This window comes from Homo sapiens, chromosome 6 (assembly GCF_000001405.40).
Source record: "Homo sapiens chromosome 6, GRCh38.p14 Primary Assembly".
Classification (NCBI taxonomy): domain Eukaryota; kingdom Metazoa; phylum Chordata; class Mammalia; order Primates; family Hominidae; genus Homo; species Homo sapiens.
This window is the reverse complement of record NC_000006.12, coordinates 154,301,220-154,323,517: the sequence shown is the minus strand read 5'-3', so window position 1 is coordinate 154,323,517 and position 22,298 is coordinate 154,301,220. Positions and strand designations below refer to the sequence as shown.

The 22,298-nt window shown below is 40.3% G+C and overlaps 1 protein-coding gene across 7 annotated transcripts in view, besides 1 other annotated feature; it reads left to right on the top strand.

Moving 5' to 3' along the window:
- Positions 1 to 22,298, top strand: part of IPCEF1 (interaction protein for cytohesin exchange factors 1) — a 202,308-nt gene that overhangs the window by 33,286 nt on the left and 146,724 nt on the right. For 2 of the 7 annotated variants that reach the window (NM_001394801.1, NM_001130699.2), the window contains exon 2: positions 16,750 to 16,823. The exons of 4 other annotated variants lie outside the window; for them this stretch is intronic. The gene's annotated coding sequence lies outside the window, so the exon portion shown is untranslated. The remainder of the gene's footprint in view (positions 1 to 16,749; positions 16,824 to 22,298) is intronic. One more of the 7 variants, NM_001394799.1, reaches the window with a different exon arrangement.
- Positions 20,875 to 20,924: an enhancer, noted in NCBI's record as "active region_25296". NCBI's record gives its function as "activates an Ori minimal core promoter by ATAC-STARR-seq in GM12878 lymphoblastoid cells {active_cell/tissue: GM12878}" and the evidence as "EXISTENCE:reporter gene assay evidence [ECO:0000049][PMID:35858748]".

The window sequence follows — 22,298 nt, the reverse complement described above, 5'->3', positions numbered from 1 at the left end:
AAATACCAAATAAATGTTTATTTCTAAATACTAAATAAACGTTTATTTGTAAATACCAAAGAAATGTTTGGCAGAATGAGAGAGGGAAGGGAAACAAATCAATAGGGGGAACATCAAAAAGCTTGTCACCACCAACTTTAGCTTAATCCTGCTGCAGAATTCCTGGAGGCCATGGAGAATATATGTTCCCTGTCCCCAAGGAGCAAGGGAACTGGAATATGTATTTATCAACCCCCAACAGTGATTGGTTGAGGGGCGCTAGGGGCAAGAATGGAGGGGACAGCTGTGTGGATTCCTCAGCACTTCTAGTCCCTCGTGCACGTGGAGATCTGGGGCTAGTGAAGGCCTCAGGCAAAGGGACTCAGATGCTGGGAGTTGGAAACTGGGCAGGGTATCTAAGGCAATGGTTCAGAACCAAGGGCATGGGATGCAGAGCTGACAACACCTGCTGGAATCTCTTGTTTAAAAGCACTTGTCACATCGAAAAAGATTAATGAAATTCTCCAATAATATTTAATAATGTTCAAATTCCTCTAACTGTTTCATATATTTGTTTTGTTTTTGTTGTGTATTTGTTTGAATGAGATTTCAAGTATAGTTCATGTATTACAATTTCTACATTTAAAAATTGCGTTTAAAGTATAGGTTCCTCATTTCTTTCGAGATAATTTTTTTTTTTTTGAGACAAAGTCTCATTCTCTCCTCCAGGCTAGAGTGCAGTGGTGTAATCTCGGCTCACTGCAACCTCCACCTCCCCGGCTCAAGTGATTCTCATGCCTCAGCCTCCTGAGTAGCTGGAATTACAGACATGCACCACCATGCCCAGCTAATTTTTGTATTTTTAGTAGAGAGGGAGTTTCACCATGTTGGCCAGGCTGGTCTTGAACTCCTGGCCTCATTGATCTGCCTCCCTCGGCCTCCCAAAGTGCTGGGATTACGGCTGTGAGCCAACACGCCTGGCCAACATTTTCTTTAGGAGGCAGTTTTACCTCTTCTTTTCCAGGTCTTTAAGTCTTTTATTTTTTCTTATTTTATTACATTGGTTAATGCTGCCAGTACGATGATAGCAGAAGTATGTGATAGCACATCATTTGCATTGTTCCCAAACATAGGGGTGTGTGTGTGTGTGTGTGTGTGTGTGTGTTTAAAATTTTTAAACTTTTTGTAGAGGCAGGGCCTCACCATTTTGCCCAGGCTGGTCTTCAGCTCCTGGCCTGAAGTGATTCTCCTGCCTCAGCCTCCCAAAATGCTGGGATTACAGGTGTGAGACACCTTGCCCAGCCTGTAGGTGGCCTTTTCATCAGATGAAGTTCCCTTCTATTTCTTGCATGCCTGAAGGTTTTTTGTTTTTTGTTTAGTTTTTAATCGTAAATGTTTTCGAAGTTTGGTGTATGCACTTTTGGCATCTATTAAGGTAATCATGTGGTTTTCCCCTTTATTATTTTAATATGATGATATATATTGATTGAATTTCAAATGTTAAGCTTGGGTAACCACACAGTCATTGTCTTTTTTATTTATTGTTGAGTTCAATTTGCAAATATTTTGGTAACAGCTTTTGCATCCATGTTCATGAGAGATCCTGGTCTACAATTTTCTTTTCTTAAAATGTTCAGGTTAGGTTTTGGTATCGGGGTTCCATTGTCCTCATGAAAAGACTTGAGAATTATCTCCTCCTCTACCTTCTAAAAGCTTTTGTAAGGTTCCTTGGTTTTTTTTTTTTTTTTTTTTTTTTTTTTAGAAAGAGTCTCTCTCTGTCACCCAGGCTGAAATGCAATGGTGCGATCTTGGCTCACTGCAGCGTCTGCCTCCCAGGTTCAAGCAATTCTCCTGCCTCAGCCTCCCAAGTAGCTGGAACTACAGGCTCGTGCCACCACACCCGGCTAACTTTTTTGTATTTTTAGTAAAGATGGGGTTTCACCATTTTGGCCAGGCTAGTCTTGAACCCCTGACCTCAGGTGATCTGCCTGCCTCTGACTCCCAAAGTGCTGGGATTACAGATGTGAGCCACAACGCCTGACCTGGGTCTTTTGGATGCTTTTTATATTTTACTTCTTCAAAGGTTGAGAAGGAAATTTATAAATATACGTATCACCCTCTTTCCTGAAATGTTTATCTAGTATATAAGTTCATGAGTAAAAACTATTTTGCATCATCTGTAGGTTTTATTTATACAAATATTATAGTTACTTACCTTCTAAAATTAGCATAGATATTTGAAGCATCAGAATTACTATTCAAAGGTAATATTGTTCAAAGGTAACATTTATTCATGTATATACATATAGGCTGGGCATGGTGGCTAACCCCTGTAATCCCAGCACTTTGGGAGGTTGAGATGGGAGGATTGCTTGAGCCCAGAAGTTCGAAACTAGCCTGGGCAACACAGAGAAACCCCGTCGCTACAAAAAATACAAAAATTAGCCTGGTGTGGTGGTGCGCGCCTATAATCCCAGCTAGTCAGGAGGCTGAGGTGGGAGGATTGCTTGAGCCCAGGAGGTCAAGGCTAGTGAGCCATAATTGTACCACTGTGCTCCAGCCTGGGCAACAGAGCAAGATCCTGTCGCAACAACAACAAAAAAGAATTCATGAATATACATATACATATATACACATGTATATGTGTGAGTGTCTCTCTATATATGTCTATAGATAAAATTATATACACAATTTTTTAAAGGTGAGGTCTTGCTATGTTGCCCAGGCTGATCTAGAGCCCCTGGGCTCAAGCGATCCTCCCACATTAGTCTCCCAAGTAGCTGGAATCACAGGCTCGTACCACAGTGCCCGGCCATGTATATACAGTTTTGTTTGGGAAATTTAATATACTTCATTCACGCACAATTGGTACGTTCAATCCTTCCTATCCTAGGAAGTGGTTCTCTGGATACACAGTGTGACAGCCAGCTTTAAACAGCTTTTCTTATTATTCCATAAACCAAAATGTCTAAAAATTGACTACCACCCTTTTTAATCAGTGACAGGAATTAAGAATATTAAGGTTTATTTAAATTCTCAGATGCACTAAAATCGGTATTAGAGCCAGTTTTTCTAGGCTTCTTGAAAACAAAGCTTTTCCTCAGGGCGGTTGAGGCCAGTTGCACTCATTGAGTCTCATCTCTTTTTATTTTCTCCAATCTCTTTTTCTCTAGAGTGAAATGAGCTGTGAAGTAGCCAAAAGATGAGCAGGAAAGAGAAAAGAAAAAGGCAAGGTTTTGAATTAGATACAAATTGGAAAAATAAGTCTTGAAATAGTTGAAAATGATTATTCCTTTTATTTTTGCTTCCTTGGTAGTTATGAACTACATGGTTAGCGTCTAGGATTTATAATTCAGGAGTTTTGGGGTTTTGTTTTCATTCTTTTTCACTTTTTTTATTACTTAGATGATAACTTTTGAATAAAAATGAGGAAACAGTTTTGCAGATTGAAACTGAAAACAACAGAATAAAAGTTAGACAATAGCAATTTATTCTAAATTAGTGCTCGGAAGGGAATATTCTCATAATTTAGGTTTTATATCTTTGGAAAAAATGCTCGTGTCTAAAATATGATTGGCCTCCTTAACTAGATGGCGGAGAGTTAGAACAGATATTTATGTTGTGATTTAAAATTTTGGGGATACAGCGATGATTAAGAGACCTCTTGAAAGCCAAGAATTTTCTCTCTTTCCAAAAGAAAAGCCCATGCCTGAGCCGTGTATTGGGAGCGTGGAACAGACTTCAGGCTTGTTTATATGGGCAGGGAGTGCATTCAAACACGATCTTGCTAATCTTGAAGTATCACACCCGGAGCCACTTGCTGCTTTTGAAGGCTTTTTAAATTTAAATAAGATGTTTCCCCGCTTCGCGTCTCAATTTAATTTTGTGCTTCTCACACACTGATAAAAATAAGACATGACACATGCTTTGGTTAGGCTTGGAAAGCAATGATTGATAGCAAGAGAGAAACCTGAACCAGAGAAAGGGAATTAAAAAGGGCCTGGGGGCGGGGGATCATCTTCTGTTTTCTTTATGTGGAAAACATCTTAGGAGTAGAAACAATTTTTTGAACAAATATATTTAAAAAATGTTTAGTAGGCACATTTTTCTGCCATGTTATAATGAGAAACAGATGTAGATGCTGTTAAATCATGTCAAATATGAACTGCCTGTGTACCCCATGTATATGTGTAAATATTTAACTAGAAAAACAGTCACATGAGAACTATTCTGGAGTGATCTTGGAAGCAGGAAGCCACAAATTATAGGTCTGAAATTTACCATGCATGGCTTATGAGTCCAGATAAGTAAAACCAAATGAAAAGACTCTGAAAATTTTATAAACAGTTCATGTTTTTGGGTAAGGGGAGGGAAGGGAAAAGAGCAGAATGAATTTTAATATACTTCATTCACGCACAATTGGTATGTTCAATTATAACCAGAGTACTAAGAATAATATGACAAGAATTTAGTTATACATTTAAATCTAAGATATTAGTTATCACCCTGCTGCATAGAAAAAATTACTATGGAATCATAGCTTATCTTCAATTAGGTTCTAAAGTCAGCACATAAAGCAAAAATTACAAACATTCACATTTATCCTTGAAAGTTCCCCTTGTTGACATCATGTTTGAGACAGACACACATAGGTTGGCTAACGTGGCCAGTGCTGAAACAGATCATATCTTCTGAAGGTTCCAGATGATGAAATTAGCTTTTGTGTATGGATGGAATGAGGGAAAAAATAATTATTGACATTGGGTGCATGTTGTATAGAAAATATGTATTGTTTTCTTCTTCTTCTTTTTTTTTTTTTTTTTTTTGAGACAGGGTCTCACTCTGTCAGCCAGGCTGGAGCGCAGTGGTGTGATCTCGGCTCACTGCAGCCTCTCCTGGGCTCAAGCAATCTACCCACCTTGGCCTCCCAAAGTGCTGAGACTAGAGGCGTGAGCCACCACACCCGGCCAAGAAAATACATATTGTTAAAACCAGAAGCACATCGTGATTCTAGTAAGGTGGAAATGAAAGCAGATTTGTGCCTTCCATCTCGGTCCCAATCTGGGGCTTATCCTTCTGAAGGGCAAGAGTGGAATGAATCCTACCCTACATTATTCCTTCATTTGTTTTCAAGTTAAATTTTAATTCCCTGGAAATAATATTCTCAAATTACCTTCTGTGACCTAAATTATTTTATTGGGTCTTGGTCTTCATGTAGTGAAAGGCACAGGTCATTAGTGCTGCAGCTCCATGAGTTTTGACAAATGTGTATGTTCATGGAACTCAAACTATTACCAAAAACCAGAATTTTTCCCGTCTTGCTCCATTAAGGTCAATCCCCCCACCCTCTACTCTCACCAGGGCAACCACTGTTCAGATTTCTTTCTCCAAAGGTTAGTCTTGCCTGTTCCAGAACTTCATAGCAAAGTTGTCATGTGGCTTGTACTTTTACATATCTGACTTCTTTTGTTCAGCATAATGTGTGTGAGATTAATCTATGCTCTTGGGTAAATTATCAGTAGTATTTTGTTTCTGTTTATTACTATATATTCTGTCTTATGAACATATTACAATTTGTTTATCTGTTCCTATTGATGGACAGTTGGGTTGTTTCCAACCTGAATTATAAGCAAACTAGCTATGAATATTCATAGACAAATCTTTGCGTGGATACATGTTTTTCTTTCTCTTCAGTAAATACTAAAGGGCAGACCTGGTGGTCACAGAACATATTATGTTTATAAGAAAGCACCAAACATTTAAAAAAAAACCGGTTGTAGCTTTTTACATTCTCATCTTTGTATGAGACCAACATCTTTCTGACTTTTCCCATTATAGTGGGTGTGTAGTGGTATCTCATTGTGGTTTTATGGCATTTTCCTAATGATTCACTATGTTGAGCACTGTTTTATGTATTTTTTGGCCATTTTTACATTTTTTTGTTAAGTGTCTGAGTCATTTGCTTTTTTTTTTTTTTTTTTTTTTTTTTTGAGATGGAGTCTCTCACTGTCGCCCAGGTTGGAGTGCAGTGGTGCAATCTTGGCTCACTGCAACCTCTGCCTCCCAGGTTCAAATGATTCTTCTGCCTTAGCCTCCTGAGTAGCTGGGATTACAGGAGCCTGCCACCATGCCCAGCTAATTTTTTGTATTTTTAGTAGAGACGGGGTTTCACTGTGTTGGCCAGGCTGGTCTCGAACTCCTGACCTCGTGATCCACCCACCTCGGCCTCCCAAAGTGCTGGGATTACAAGCGTGAGCCATTGTGCCTGGCCCATTTGCTCATTTTTAATTGGTCTACTTGTCATTTTATTATCGAGTTGGAGGAATTCTTTATGTATTCTAGGTACAGATTCTTTGACAAACACATGTTTGATGAATATTTTCTCCCAGCTTGTGGCTTGCTTATTCTATTAACATCACTTGTGATTAGAATTTTTTTCTTTTATGTTTATTGCTTTCCGTATCCTGAGTAAGAAATCTTTGCCTACCCCAAGATCACAAAAATATTACTTTATATTTTCTTCTGGAAGCTTTATAGTTTCAGCTGTCAAGTTTAGGTCTATGAGGTAGGAATTGAAGTTAATTTTTTTTCATATGGCTATCCAGTTTTTCCAGCAGTATTATTATTATTCCAATTAACTAATTAATTTTAATTGAGAAAATTGTATCTACTTACTAGGTACATGTTGTTTTAAAATACGTATATATTGTGGAATGGCTAAATTGAACTAAATAACATGTCTAATCTTACATACTCATTTTTTGTTGTGAGAACACTTAAAATTTACACTTTTAGTGATTTTCAGGAATACAATACATCGTTATTAACTGTACTTACCATGCTGTACAATAGCTCTCTTGAGTTTATTTCTCCTGTTTCATTGAACTTTTATATAGTTTGACCAACATCTCCTCTTCCCCTAACCCTTGGTAACTAACCACCATCCTATTCTTTGCATCTATGACTTCAATCTCTTTAGAATCCACATGTAAGTGAGAGTATGCAGTATTGGTTTTTCTGTGTCTGGCTTATTTCATGTAACATAATGTTCTCCAGGTTTATTCATGTTGTTGCAAATGACAGAATTTCCTTCTTTTTTTAAATACAGAATAGTATACCTTGTGTATCTAGGCATAACTCAGAGATATTGCAGGTTTGGTTCCGGACCACAGCAATAAAGTAAGTATCACAATAAAGTGAGTCACCTTAATTTTTTTGGTTTCCCAGTGCATATAAAAGTGATGCTGTGCTGTAGTTTATTAAGTGTACAATAGCATACATCTAAAAAAATGTGCTTCCCTATGAGTGAAGGAGAGGGCCAATAATGGCAACCCAATTTTACAGTGTTACCTAAAGTGAGGGTTAAGAATTTGCACATGTTGGCTGGGAGCAGTGGCTCTTGCCTATAATTCCACCACTTTGGGAGGCTGAGGCAGGCAGATTGCTTGAGGCCAGGAGTTCAAGACTAGCCTGGCCAACATGGTGAAACTGTCTCTACTGAAAATACCAAAATTAGCCAGGCCTGGTGGTTCATGCCTGTACTCGCAGCTACTTGGGAGGCTGAGGCACAAGAATAACTTGAACCTGGGAGGCGGAGATTGCAGTGAGCTGAGATTGCAGTGAGCTGAGATTGCAGTGAGCTGAGATTGGGCCACTGCACTCCAGCCTGGGTGACAGAGTGAGACTGTCCACCACCGCTCCCCCCCAAAAAAAATTGCACATTTTAATTTTGATTCTAGATTTCTGTACTTAGATTTTCATCAATTTCCCATCAATATTTAAAACTTCAAATTTGACTCTGTTTTCCCTATTTGAAGACAGATGGGGGATTGGTATCTCAGGGCCAAATACAGGGATGCTAGTGTGACTATCAGCTCCCAAGCTTGGTATAGATCCACAGGACTAAGATAAAATCCGGGACTTAGTTGTCATTAATGGTGGATACTGGCCCATTCCCATCTGTGATCGTTACCACAAAGGAAATTGACTTAGAGCCTCTGACTCTGGTTCTTGCCTTATGCCTTATAACTATGTTCAAAATAAGGATCTTGACACTGAACTCCATACTGGGGATCTGGGCTACTTGTAACTCAGCTTATTTATGTCAATGAAACAGCTGTTATTAGAGAAAGCTGTTCAGTTTCTAAGGGCTCCCACTCTTTGCCTTCACGGACCCTGTTTTTCCCTGTAGAAATGTCATGTTCATAGAAATGCTCTGGCCCTACAAATATTTACTGAGCACCAAGATGATTAAGTGCTTAGGTACATGAGTGAGCAAAAATATTCACTGTCCATGTTCTCCCAGGACTTTTAGTCTAATGGAGAGACAGATGTTAATCAAGTAATCACACTAGTGGGCTAGGCATGGTGGCTCACGCCTATAATCCCAGCACTTTGGGAAGCCAAGGCGGGCAGATCATTTGAGGTCAGGAGTTCGAGATTAGCCTGGCCAACATGGTGAAATCCTGTCTCTACTAAAAATACAAAAAAGTTAGCTGGTCGTGGTAGCACATGCCTGTAATCTCAGCTACTCGGGAGGCTAAGGCAGGAGAATCGCTTGAACCTGGGAGGCGGAGGTTGCAGTGAGCTGAGATTGTGTCACTGCATTCCAGCCTGGGTGACAGAGACACTGTCTCAAAAAAAAAAAAAAAAAAGTAATCACACTAGTGAAGCCATCTTTACAAAGTAGATGGGGCCCTGAAGGGAAAGGAACCTCTTTCTATGAGTGCTTATCCCTGAGATTTTTAGGGATAAAAAACATTTTCAAAAACTTGTTCTTTTGTGGTTTTTATCTTATCTCAATTTTGTCTTTTACAAAACTAAGAGCTATTTAGAGTGTTCGGTTTTTCATGTGAAAACTTGAGATCAATTGGGGAGATGATCAATAGATACGAGAATTCAATTAGAAACAGTAATTAATACTGTTCTGAGTTTTCTTTTCATGTTAGATGAGGCAAAGGAATTCTTAGGATACTAAGGTAGAAAGAGAAACACAAGAGGAAGGGCAAGTTTTAAAAAGTAAGAAGAAAACAAAAGTTTCCTAGGTAGATAGACCTGATTTTCACTAGTTTTTTCTTAGTATCTTTGTTGGTAATATAAACATAGGTATGTTTGCATTTTTTTCTATTTTTAATTATGGGCTCAAATTTCTATACAAATGATTATGTCATTAATCTTTCCAATATGCTTGGCCTTCTTTTGCAAGAGTTACTGGGCACAGAGCCATAGTGGCCAATTTGATTCTTCTATTGGCATTTATATTGGGCATTTCCCCCGAATCTGTTCTCAGTTTCTTATCTAAGATGAGCTGATAATCCTCCAAAGACTTGTTTTTTGTGATCAAAATGAAATGAGATTAAAAGCACTCTATAATTATAAATGTACAAAAATGTAAGTGGTATGATTATTAGCCAAGACCTGTGTTAACTCCCTTTTTGATGCCAGAGAAAGCACCAAGGTAAATGGCAGAGGCAAAAACAGAACCAGAAGATGTCTGGGCATGGTGGCTCACACCTGTAATCCCAGCATTTTGGGGGGCCAAGATGGGAAGATTGCTTGAGGCCAGGAGTTTGAGACCAGCCTGGCCAACACAGTGGGATCCCATTTGTACAAGAAATTAAAAAAAAAATTAGCCAGGTGTGGTGGCACACACCTGTAGTCTCAGCTACTTGGGAGGCTGAGAAGGGAGGATTGCCTGAGTCCTGTAGTTTGAGGCTGCAGTGAGCTGAGATCATGCCACTGCACTCCAGCCTGGGTGACAGAGCGAGACCCTGTCTCAAAAAAACAAAAAACAAAACAAAAAAAAGAACCAGAAGATGAATTTCTGGCTTCTTGGTGTTTTACATCTCTTTTATATTAAAGCATACATACAATTCTACACCATTTTGGAATTTACTTGCCTATATAACCGTACAGTAAAGCCTTAATAACTAGAACAGTGATTGAGTTGAAGAGATTAGGCTTAACCAAAACATCTTTCTTTAATAAAGTCATTAGTATAGAAAAGTAGTAAAGAAAAAGGTTTCCAATATCCAGTAGGATAGACTTTTGTAGTCTCTTAAAACATTTTGTTTTACTGTTAAATTGAAATACAACCTATCTATTGTTTAAACTCTCTAAGAAATCTGTGTGACATTAATTTTTTTTCTTTTTCTTTTTTTTTTTGAGACAGAATCTTGCTCTCTTGCTCAAGATGGAGTGGAGTGGCGCGATCTCAGCTCACTGCAACCTCCACCTCCTAGGTTCAAGTGATTCTTCTGCCTCAGCCTCCTGAGTAGCTAAGATTACAGGCACCCACCACTACTACGCTTGGCTAATTTTTGTATTTTTAGAAGAGATGGGGTTTTACCATGTTGGCCAGGCTTGTCTCAAACTCCTGACCTCGGGTGATCTGCCCTCCACAGTCTCCCAAAATGCTGGGATTACAGGCGTGAGCCACTGTGCCCGGCCATGTTTTTTTTTTTTTTTTTTTGAGACAGGGCCTCACAGCCTGCAGTGCAGTGGGGTTGATTTCGGCTCACTGCAACCTTCCCTTCCTGGGCTCAAGTGATCTTCCCACCTTACCCTCCGAAAGTGTTAGGTGTGAGCCACTGTGCCCTGCCCAAGAAAAAGTTCTAAAAAATTTTTTATTTATTCATCTTAAATTGACAAATAAAATTGTACATATTTATGGTTTACAATATGGTGTTTTGAAATATGTGTACATTGTTGCATAGCGAAATCAAGCTCATTAACATATGTGTTACCTCACATAGTTTTTTTGATCATGAGAATACTCAAAATCTCTCTTGGAAATTTTCAAGTATACAATTCACTGTTATTAACTGTGGTCACCATGTTGTACAAGAGCTCTCTTGAACTTATTCCTCCTGTCCAAATAAAAGTTTTGATTCTGGCCAGGTGCGGTGGCTCACACCTGTAATCCCAGCACTTTGGGAGGCTGAGGCGGGCGGATCATGAGGTCAGGAGTTCGAGACCAGCCTGGCCAACATGGTGAAACCCCGTCTCTACTAAAAACACAAAAAATTAGCCGGGTGTGGTGGTGCGTGCCTGTAGTCCCAGTTACTCAGGAGGCTGAGGTAGAAGAATCACTTGAACCCAGGAGGTGGAGGTTACAGTGAGCCGAGATCGTGACACTGCACTCCAGCCCTGGCGACAGAGCAAGACTTTGTCTCAAAAAAAAAAGTTTTGATTCTTTGACCAACTTCTCTCCAATCCTTCCCTCTACACCAGCCCCTGACAACCACCATTATACTCCCTGTTTCTCTAGGTTTGACTTTCTTAGGTTCCACATATAAATGAGATCATACAGTACTTATCTTTTTGTGACTGGCTTATTTCATGTAACAAAATGTCCTCCAGGTTCATCTGTGTTATTGCAAATAACAGGATTGCCTTCTTTTTAAAAGTGTTTTTAAGTGTATTCTATTGTGCATATAGATCACATTTTCTTTATCTGTTCATCTGTCGATGGACAAAGATTGATTGCATATCTTGGCTATTGTGAATAGTGCTGCTATGAATGTGGGGGTATAGACATCTCTTTAATATACTGATTTCATTTCTTTTGGGTAAATATCCAGGATTTATCCAAAAGATAAAGAGATTGCTGGCCCATATCGTAGTTGTATTTTTAATTTTTTGAGAAACTTCCATACTGTTTTCCATATTGGCTGTACTAATTTTCCTTCCCATTGACTGACTACACACAAGAGTTCCCTTTTCTACGCATCTTCACCAACACTTGTTATCTTTCATCTTTTTTTGAAAATAGCCATTCTAACAGGGGTGAGGCGATCTCTCACTACAGTTTTAATTTGTATTTTTGTAATGATTAGTGATATTGAAAATTTTTTTCATACACTTGTTGGCCATTTGTATGTCTTCTTTTGGGAACTATCTATTCTGATTCTTTGCCCATTTAAAAAATTGGGTTATTTAAAAATAAGTGTTTGAGGAAACATAATGAGCACTTTTTTAAAAAACATATTTAGGAAATTGTGGTTCATGGAGAGGGGCATGGCCAGTGGTCAACTGGAAGTATAGCTCTGGAGCTCAAGAGGTCTAGCTTGAAATATGAATTTGGTTGCCATTAGCATTGGTGATAATTCAACAAAAGGTAGTAAGAGAAAGTAAAAAGAACATGAATAAGATCCTAAGGAACACTGATATTTAAGGGATTAAAAGAGGCAAGGGGTTGCAATGAGCTTGAGAAGAGATGAAAGAAGACTGGCAGAAAGTGGAGTACTGAAAGCCAAGAGAAAAAGAGTATTAGGATGGGATCCTGTGCTGCAGGGAGGTTAGTAAGAGAGAGATTGAAAAGCACTCCTTGAACTCAGCAAGAACAAAATGCCTGGCAGTTTTTCTTTCTTATTTTTTATTAATTTATTTTTAATTGACAAATAATAATTGTGCATATTTATGGGTTACAATGTGTTGTTTTGATTTATGTATACATTGTAGAAAGATTCAATCAAGATAATTAGCATATTTATTCCCTTCCAACATCATTTGTTTGGAGTGAGGACTTTAAAAATAAATTCTTTTAACAATTCTGCAATATACAATACATTATTATTAACTGTGTTCACCATGCAGTGCAATACAACACCAACACTTACTCCTCCAGTCTAACTAAAACTCTGTGCCCTTTGATCACCATCTTCCCTTTCCCCAACCCTTCCCCAACCATCCCCAGCCCCTAGTAATCCCCTTTCTACTCTCTTTTTCTATGAGATTAAGTTTTTAGATTCCACATATAAGTGAGATCATATAGTATTTGTATTTATATGCCTGGCTTCTTTCATGTAGCATAATGTCCTTCAATTCCATCCATGTTGCAAATTACAGACTCTCCTTCTTTTTTAGGTCTGTATAGTATTCCATGTGTATATACATACCACATTTTGATTCTGTATCTTAACTATTGTGAATAATGCTGAAATAAACATGGGAGTACAGATATCTCTTTGACATACTAATTTCAATTTCTTTGGATATACACCCAGAATACGGATTGCTAGATCATATGGTAATTTTATTTTTAGTTTTTGTGGAACCTCCATACTATTTTCCAAAATGGCTGTACTAATTTACATTCCCACCAACAGTGTGCAAGGGTCTGCATCCTTGCCAACATCCTAGACCTCCTCCCCTTCCTCTAGTTTTCAAAAAAATAGAAAGAAAGAAAATAGCCATTCTAACAGGTATGAGGTGATATCATTGTGGTTTTAATTTGCATTTCCCTGATGGTTAGTGATGTTCAGCATTTTTTCATGCATCTATTTGCCAATCATATGTCCTCTTTTGAGAAATGCCTGGCAGTTTTGATGTGGGCATCTTGATTCAGCTGAGGTTGAGCTCCACTTGTATTATTAGGTCTTGGAGAGCTGACTGTGTGGTAAGAATTGGAGCAGTAGGAACAGACTTCTTTTACAAAGGTTGACTAAAGGGAAAGTTTAAAAATGCACAGCGACGGCCGGGTGTGGTGGCTCACGCCTGTGATCCTAGCAGTTTGGGAGGCCGAGGTGGGTGGATCACTTGAGGTCAGGAGTTCAAGACCAGCCTGGCCAACATGGTGAAACCCTGTCTCTACTAAAAATACAAAAATTAGCCAGGCGTGGTGGCATGCGCCTGTAATCCCAGCTACTTGGGAGGCTGACCCAGGAGATTTGCTTGAACCGGGGAGGCGGAGGTTGCAGTGAGCCAAGATCTCACCATTGCACCCCAGCCTGGGTGACAGAGCAAGACTCCATCTAAAAAAAAAAAAAACAAGAAAAGAAAAGCAGAGTGACTAAATAGCTTTAGCGGAAAGAATTTTATTTTAAGGTGGGTAGAATTTCACAAAGATTGTGGATCAAAGAGGAAAGTAGAGAGGAATTGTCTAAAGATACAGGGCAGATGAAAAAAAATACAGGACAGAGAAGAGACAGTAAATATGCCTTCTCCAAGAACAAGGAGGGCGGCACCTCCCCAGCATAATGAAGGGATTGGTCTTCAATAGGAAGAGAAGGGTAACAGGTATATAAGGATGGTATCTAACAGCTCTGTGAAGAACGGTGAGATGGCTGAATAAGAGACAGCAGGATGTATTGGGGATGTGAAGGTAGAATAACTGCTGGTTTCTTCCATCGGTTGGGTGTCATTAAACACATGTTGTGAGCTCCTGTTGTGCTTCAGGTAGTGTGCTGGCATTAGATGGTGAGCCCTGCCACCATAGAGTGGGGGGACAGATACTCATCTTAATCATACAAATATATCCAAATTTGTGATATTGATAAAGGCTGTGAATGAGCGGTTATTGGCGTTCTGAGACCATGTAATGGGTAGTTTGACTCAGACAGCTCAGGGAAAGTTATCTGTGACAGCTGGAGAGAGTGAGTATATGATACTTAGTAAAAGTGAGTTTCCCTTCTTTTTTAGAAATCACCTTATTTAAAAGAGACAACTTATTTTAGCAAATATTGACCTTCTCCATGTCTCTTTACAAAACTGTCCTCATCTAAGATGACTTAACATATTTGCAAGAAGTTCCTTTTTAAAAAAACAAAAAAACCAAATGTAGATGTTTACACTTTTAAAATGAGAACTGCAAACCATTTTTAGCAGACGGTCCTTGTGTTCCTGAGTTGCAGATGTCACACCTTATCGCATCTAATTTAAATTGAAAAATAGTATTATCCTGTAAAATTGACAACAAAGAGAACATTCTAAAGTATTATCATTTTATGAAGAATCTAGAAATTACAAATGCATGTTAACTCCTTTTGTGCTGTAATAGTGGTTGTGTATTCGTGATTCTTTTACAGTCCTTCAACACAAATTAATTAGTTTTATCCCCAGTTTCAGGTTAAACTCCCCTAAAAGCCACACAAAGTAATGGCTAGTTTTATTAGTCAATACCATTGATTTCAATTAAACAGCAAAGATAGGCTTTGCTGAAAGAACGATGTTTATTCTCAGGATGTCTGAAATTAATATAAAGAATACTTTGTTCTCTGTTAAACCTCTATTGCCTTGGGAAAGAAGGTTGGCTTCTGGATAAGTTTTGTAAAAAGATAAATTGGATGGTATAATTTTAAATGTGGAGCCCTCATTAAAATATTTCAGAAAGGGCCAGGTGTGGTGGCTCAAGCCTGTAATCCCAGTAGTTTGTTTGGGAGGCTGAGACAGGTAGATCACCTGAGCTCAGGAGTTGGAGACTAACCTGGTCAACACTGCGAAAAAAAACAAAACATCTCTACAAAAAAATACAAAAATTAGCAGGGCATGGTGGCACGCACCAATAGTCCCAGCTACTTGGAAAGCTGGGGTTTGAGGATCGCTTGAGCCTGGGAGCTTGAGGCTGCAGCCAGCCATGATTGCACCACTGCACGCCAGCTTAGATCACAGAAAGGACATAAGTAAATTAATCATATCTTTTGGCCCCTTTCACCCTGTTCTAGTTTCTTTCCACTATTTACTACTGTCTGTTTACATCCCTCTCCCCCTAAAAATTGCTGAGACTGCTGGAGAACTGTTTTTATTTAAAGGGGCAACGTTCAAGCCACCCCTTACCTTTCTTCTTTTCAGTGGTGAGAGCCTCCTGGGAAGTGTTCTGTTTGCTTGCTGGTTGTGACTATTTGTCAGTGGGTGGATGTGAGGATGCCAAGTTGGAAAGGGCAGCTCAGTCGTCTAACAGTACACAGAGGAGGCACTCAGTGCTGTGAGCACACATTCATTTTTACTCTGTTTTTGATGAGTGTTTGAAGCAAAGAGTAGGGTATAGTTAGCAATAAAGATGGTGAATGTACATCTAGATGCTTTTCACATTAAATGCAGATCTGTGAAAAAGTCGAAATCTAAATAAATTGTCTAGTATTTGTGTGATTTTATTATAATTTGATGAAAGAGACTACTTGGCGGGTATGGGATTAAGGAAAACAGAAATAAAAGACAGTTCTGGACCACGGTTATAGGCTTAAACTGTGTCTCTCCACACCTCCTACCCCTATTCATATGCTGAAGTCCTAACCCCAGTACATCAGAATGTGACTGTGTATTAGTCCGTTTTCACACTGCTGATAAAAACATACCCGAGACTGGTCAATTTACAAAGGAAAGTGGTTTAATGGAGAACTCACAGTTGCATGTGGCTGGGGAAGCCTCACAACCATGGCGGAAGGCAAGGAGGAGCAAGTCACGTCTTACATGGATGGCGGCAGGCAAAGAGAGAGCTTGTGCAGAGAAACCCCCATTTTAAAAACTATCAGATCTCATGAGACCCATTCACTATCATGAGAACAGCACAGGAAAGACCCCACCCCATGATTCAGTCATGTCCCACCGGGTCCCTCCCACAACACATGGGAATTATGGGAGCTACAAGATGAGATTTGGGTGGGGACACAGAGCCAAACCATATCAGATTGTATTTGGAGATAGGCAGGGCCTTTAGAAAAGTAATTAAGTTAAAATGAGGTCATTAGTATGGGCCCTAAAACCAAACCTGTGGCACCTTGATCTCAGACTCTGGCCTCAGAACTGTGAGCGGATGAATGTCTGTTGCGGAAGCCACCCAGTCTGCGGTATTTTGTGATGGCTGCCTGGCAAACTGATACAACCACTCACACACAGCAAACTGCACAGAGGGGCATGAATACAAATGTGAATGTTATAGCAGGTGCAGGTTAAGGGAAGTGAGATATACAAAAAAAATGAGATTCAGTCCAAGAGCTGGGTCTGGGCATTGGCTAGATGTCTGACTTTGAGCAAGTTCCTTAACTTTTTGAGTTTCAGAGTCATCAACTGGGCTCATGAGAACCACAAGAAACCTACGAAGGCACTGGGACAGAGCCTGGCTGCTGGTAGGCGCTGCACAGTATCCATCCTCCCTGTCCTCTGCCCTGGCTGTGTGTGCTCTTTCCTAGGGGGCCCATAGGGTAAGGGTGCATTGACCCTGAGAACTTTCTCACAGCAGGGTGTCATGAGCCATCTCTGGGTCTTAGTTTCTTGACTATTAATGGGCTGGGCACAGTGGCTCATGCCTGTAATCCCAACACTTTGGGAGACTGAGGCAGGAGGATACCTTGAACGCAGGAGTTCGAGGCCAGCCTCGCAACATAGAGAGACCCTGTCTCTACAAAATAAATCAATAAAAATAAATTAAAACAAAATAAAGCAAACAATTCAAACTAAAATAAAAAGAAATGAAAGGATTGTGCTGCACTGTTAGACTCTAACTCGAGGTCATTCTGTCTCTGAAAGTTTATATTTTTAAAGAATTAAAGGAAGCAAGCTTGAGTGAGAAGACAAGGTAGGGGGTTCTGGATAGATCTGCTCAAATGTTAGTAAATTATGAGAAGCCAAGCACTGATGAGGTTAATGTAAGTGACGTGGGGCGACTTCCAGAGTTAGATGTCGGGGTGGGCAGGCAGGAGAAGGAAGCTGGATGTATTAGGGTTCTCTAGAAGAAAGAGCTAATAAGATATATGTCTATATGAAAGGGAGGTTTTTAAGGAGAATTGACTCACACGATCGCAAGGTGAAGTCCCACAATAGGCCCTCTGCAAGTTGAGGAGCAAGGAAGTCAGTCCAAGTCCCAAAACCTCAAAAGTAGAGAAGCCGACAATGCGGCCCTTAGACAGTGGCCAAAGGCCCAAGAGCCCTTGGTAAACCACTGGTGTAAGTCCAAAGGTCCAAGAGCTGAAGAACTTGGAGTCTGATATTTGAGGGCTGGAAGCATCCAGCATGGGAGAAAGATGGAGGCCAGAAGCCTCAGCAAGTCCATTTCTCCCACCTTCTTCTGCCTGCTTTATTCCAGCTCCACTGGCAGCTGATTGGATGGTGCCCACCCGTATTGAAGGTGGGTCTGCCTCTCCCAGTCCACTGACTCAAAGTTGATCTCCCTGACAGTCACACCCAGGAACAATACTTTGCATCCTTCAATCCAATCCAGTTGACACATAATATTAACCATCACACTGGGGGTAGTTTCAGTGGTTGAAAAGGAAAGCCCAGGATGGAGAACTATTAGTGATTTTTGTTTTTAAACCAGTGAGATGTGATTTTTGTGAAAGATTATTCTGGTAGTATATGCTTGTGTATGTAGGATAGACAGGTACAGCAGGAGGCAGAAGACAGAGATACAGGCAGAAGAATGAGCATAGGAGGGCCTGAAAGATTGCTGTGGAAATGGACAAATGCACAGAGAAGAATGCATGGTAGAATTACTGATGGAGTGGGAACAGCAGGGGAAGGAGAAAGGGAGCTCAAATCACTGAAAAGCAGATGACATGCACCAGCCTATTGACCTCCTACTGGTTTTTTGTCCCAAGACAGACACCTGACTGGGTAAACTCTGAGATGGAGGGGGCTGAGTAACAGCAAGGAGGCACAGTCTTCTCACATATTTTCTTTCTTTCTTTTCTTTTCTTTTTTTTTTTTTGAGACAGAGTTTCGCTCTTGTTGCCCAGGCTGAAGTGCAGTGGCACAATCTCAGCTCACTGCAACCTCCGCCTCCTGGGCTCAAGCGATTCTCCTGCCTCAGCCTCCCGAGTAGCTGGGATTACAGGCATGCGCCACTACACCCAGCTAACTTTTGTATTTTTAGTAGAGATGAGGTTTCTCCATGTTGGTCAGGCTGGTCTTGAGCTCCCAACCTCAGGTGATCTGCCCACCTCGGCCTCCCAAAGTGCTGGGATTACAGGCGTGAGCCACCGCGCCCGGCCTTTTCTTATGCTTAAAAATCAGGTTGACTTGGTCTAGAAATGCAGATGATGATTTTTTTTTCTTTTTCCAAACTGGAGATACAGGCAGGAAATTTCCCAGGTATGAACTGAGCATGGTGTTATTAGGTCAGCAGAGAGCCTTCAATAGGTAACTGACTGTCTATGGATTTGGTCATATTGGCCTCTTGCTTTTCAGGATCTCTGGCTTTTGATCCAAATACTTACATATCAGATCCAGAATCAACTCATACAAGCAAACCTTCATTCAGAATATATAAATGGTGATGTCTTCTTTTATTCATTTATTCAATGTTTACTAGTGTCCTAAGTGATGGGCTATGAGTTGGGAACACAGATGAATGAGATGCCAACCCTTCCTGTAATAATTCATGCTAAGTTTATCTGTCTATTAAATTGCATCACACAAAATTGAAAAAGAGAGTGATTTCAGGAAGTATTCTCAACATGAATAAAGTCTGAAAAAATTGGCACGAATACTATACTCTTTAAGGAAGAGCAGACTTTTGTTCTATCCTGGTGAAGCTGCTTATTGATGTATTTTTAAAGTATATTTTATTTATTATTATTTTTTAATTAAAAAAATTTTTTTGAGACAGGGTCTTGCTCTGTCACCCAGGCTGGAGTGCAGTGGCACAATCATGGCTCACTGCAGCCTCAAACTTCTGGGCTCAAGTGATCCTTCCACTCAGTCTTCCAAGTAGCTGGGACTACCGGTGTGCCCCACCACACCAGGCTAACTTAATTTTTTTACAAAAGTGGGATCTTCTTATGTTGCACCAGGCTGCTCTTGAACTCCTGGGCCCAGAGCCTCTTGCCTCAGCCTCCTGAGTAGCTGGGACCACAGATGCATGCCCCCTTGCCTGGTTAAGGAGTGCATTTTATTTTTTTTATTTGAGACGTCTTGCTCTCTTGCTCAGGCTGGAGTGCAGTGGCACAATCATGACTCACTGCAGCCTTGACCTCCCGGGCTCAAGCAATTGTCCTGACTCAGCCTCGCATGTAATTAGGGCCACAGGTGCACCAACATGCCTCGTTAATTTTTTAATTTTTTTGCAGAGAGAAGGTCTCACTTTGTTGTCCAGGCTAGTCTTGAACTCCTGGACTCAAGCAATCCTCCTGCCTTGGTCTCTCAAAGTGCTGGAATTACAGGCATGAGCCACTGTGCCTAGCCAGGAGTACATTTAAGAGTAGGGCAATAGTTGTTACAGAAGAATGTATGAGAATCATTCTCTTTTTGTGTTAGTTCTCTTCAAAACAAATGATAAAAAGGAGAAGGGTGAATGAGCCATTCTTGTCTCTCCCCGTCCTGTATTATGTCGTTAAAATTGGAGAGGTTTTGCAGAAAACAACCCTCTCGTGTTCTGAGAGCTGATGGATATGTACACCAGTAATCAAATGACAAAGTGAAAAGTGCTATCATAGGCCGGGTGCAGTGGCTCATGCCTGTAATCCCAGCATTTTGGGAGGCCGAGGTGGGCGGATCACAAGGTCAGGAGTTTGAGAACAGCCTGGCCAACATGGTGAAACCCCGTCTCTACTAAAAATACAAAGATTACCCGGGCGTGGTGGTATGCACCTGTAATCCCAGCTACTCAGGAGGCTGAGGCAGGAGAATAGCTTGAATCTGGGAGGCAGAGGTTGCAGTGAGCTGAGATTGTGCCATTGCACTCCAGCCTGGGTGACAGAGCGAGACTCTGTCAAAAAAAAAAAAAAAAAAAGTGCTATCATAGCTATAATATAGTTGCGTTCAAAATCTGATGGGAACTTAGGAAGATTTACTAAAGCTGTTGGGTTGCTGGTCAACATTGCCTCACTAAAGATGATAAGTAGTGATGGTGATCCATATATTTGGGTGTTGCAGAGTCAATACACAAAATAAAGGAAGGTGGGAAAGGATAAGAAATAAGTAATTATTAAGCATCTACTAAGTGCCTGATGACAACTGGGTAAATTCATGAAAATTATGTCATTTAATCCTTACAAGCACCCTGGGTCCTAAGTTATAGTCACTTTTCAGATGAAAAATCTGAGACTTGGGCCAGGCACAGTGGCCCATGTCTATAATCCCAGCACTTTGGGAGGCCGAGGCTGGGGGATCGCTCAAGCTCAGGAGTTCGAGACCAGCCTGGGCAACATGGTGAAGCCCTGTCTCCACAAAAAATATAAACATTAGCCAGGCGTGGTGGCACATGTCTATAGTCCCAGCTACTCGGGGGGCTGAGGTGAGAGGATCAGTTGAGTCTGGGATGTTGAGGCTACAGTGAACTGAGCTCATGCCACTGCACTCCATCCTGGGAGACACAGCAAAACCCCCTTCCCCCACTAAAGAGAAGAAAAGAAAAAGCTGGGACTTGGAGAGAATAATAGTTTATCCAAAGTCCTACAGCTAGTGGGAGGCAGAAGCAGGATTTCCATATGTGTCCAGACTCCCCCCACCATATCATGTGGTTACAACTAAATGAGACAAATAAAGCACACAAGAAAGAGGAAGTGGGCAAATTTGGTTTTGCTGCCTCTCGAAGTGAGCGTGACTCAGAGATTTCTGACAGCAGAACCTAGTGGTTTGTGGAGTCAAGGTCTATAAATGTTTCTGTTACTGGATTCAGGAGATTTAACTCAATAACAGAAGCTAGCTGTCAGATAAAGACTGGAATAAACATTTCTTTGCATTGGTATATAGATCCACAAATGTGAGCAATGAGAACTCTCTGGATGGTTTCCACAGAAAATGAAGTGTAGTTGAATCTCATTTATTTGGAAGTTGTCTATCTATAAACTCACACATCCAGCACACAACAAGGAATCAGCAAATCAGCAAAACTCCATGAGCGCTCAAATAGATGTCATAACCAACACATCGTAAATCTCAGGCACCACGCTGTTTATTCCATTCCAAATGCCTTCAAGCCTTCAATTAGAATCTAGATTTAAAATATTTAGTATAATTTTTTTAACCTTTTGAGAGTATAAGGTATTATTTATTTTTACTTATTAGTACTACCTCCTTTGAGATACTTAATCTTAAAATGTGGATTAGTGATTCTTACTTTTTATATGTCCTGGTTCAATTTGAGACTATGATGAAAGCTGTAAATGCACATATCACGTTAAATTATCCACACAATTTCAGTGATCATGATCCCCCGAAGTCCCAGGGCTCAATAAATAACTCTGGAATATAGAGTAATAGGTGTACCTTTAAGAATATTATATAAATACTGTTTATTGTAACTGAGCCTTTGACACGGATTGAGAACCAGCCAGTTGGATTTAAGTGTTCCTAGCATTAAATAAGAATGCAGCCTGTTCTATGCTGCAGATTAAACAAGTGCTTTCGTAGCCTGGAGAACGGTACACACACAGACACATTTAACAAAACACCATGCTAATATTTCAAGGTTTATGGGGTGCCTGGATCAGATAGCCTCAACCCTTGTGCCCAAGAGTCTCATGACCGTTTGGGAACATCACAAACCTCTAGATCCTACCAGTGCATGGCCCCAGGAGATGACGATCCACGTAAGAATGCTGGTCCCTTCCCTCATCATTCCTTCCTCATATCTCAGCTGAGTCCAAACTATAATGTGAGGG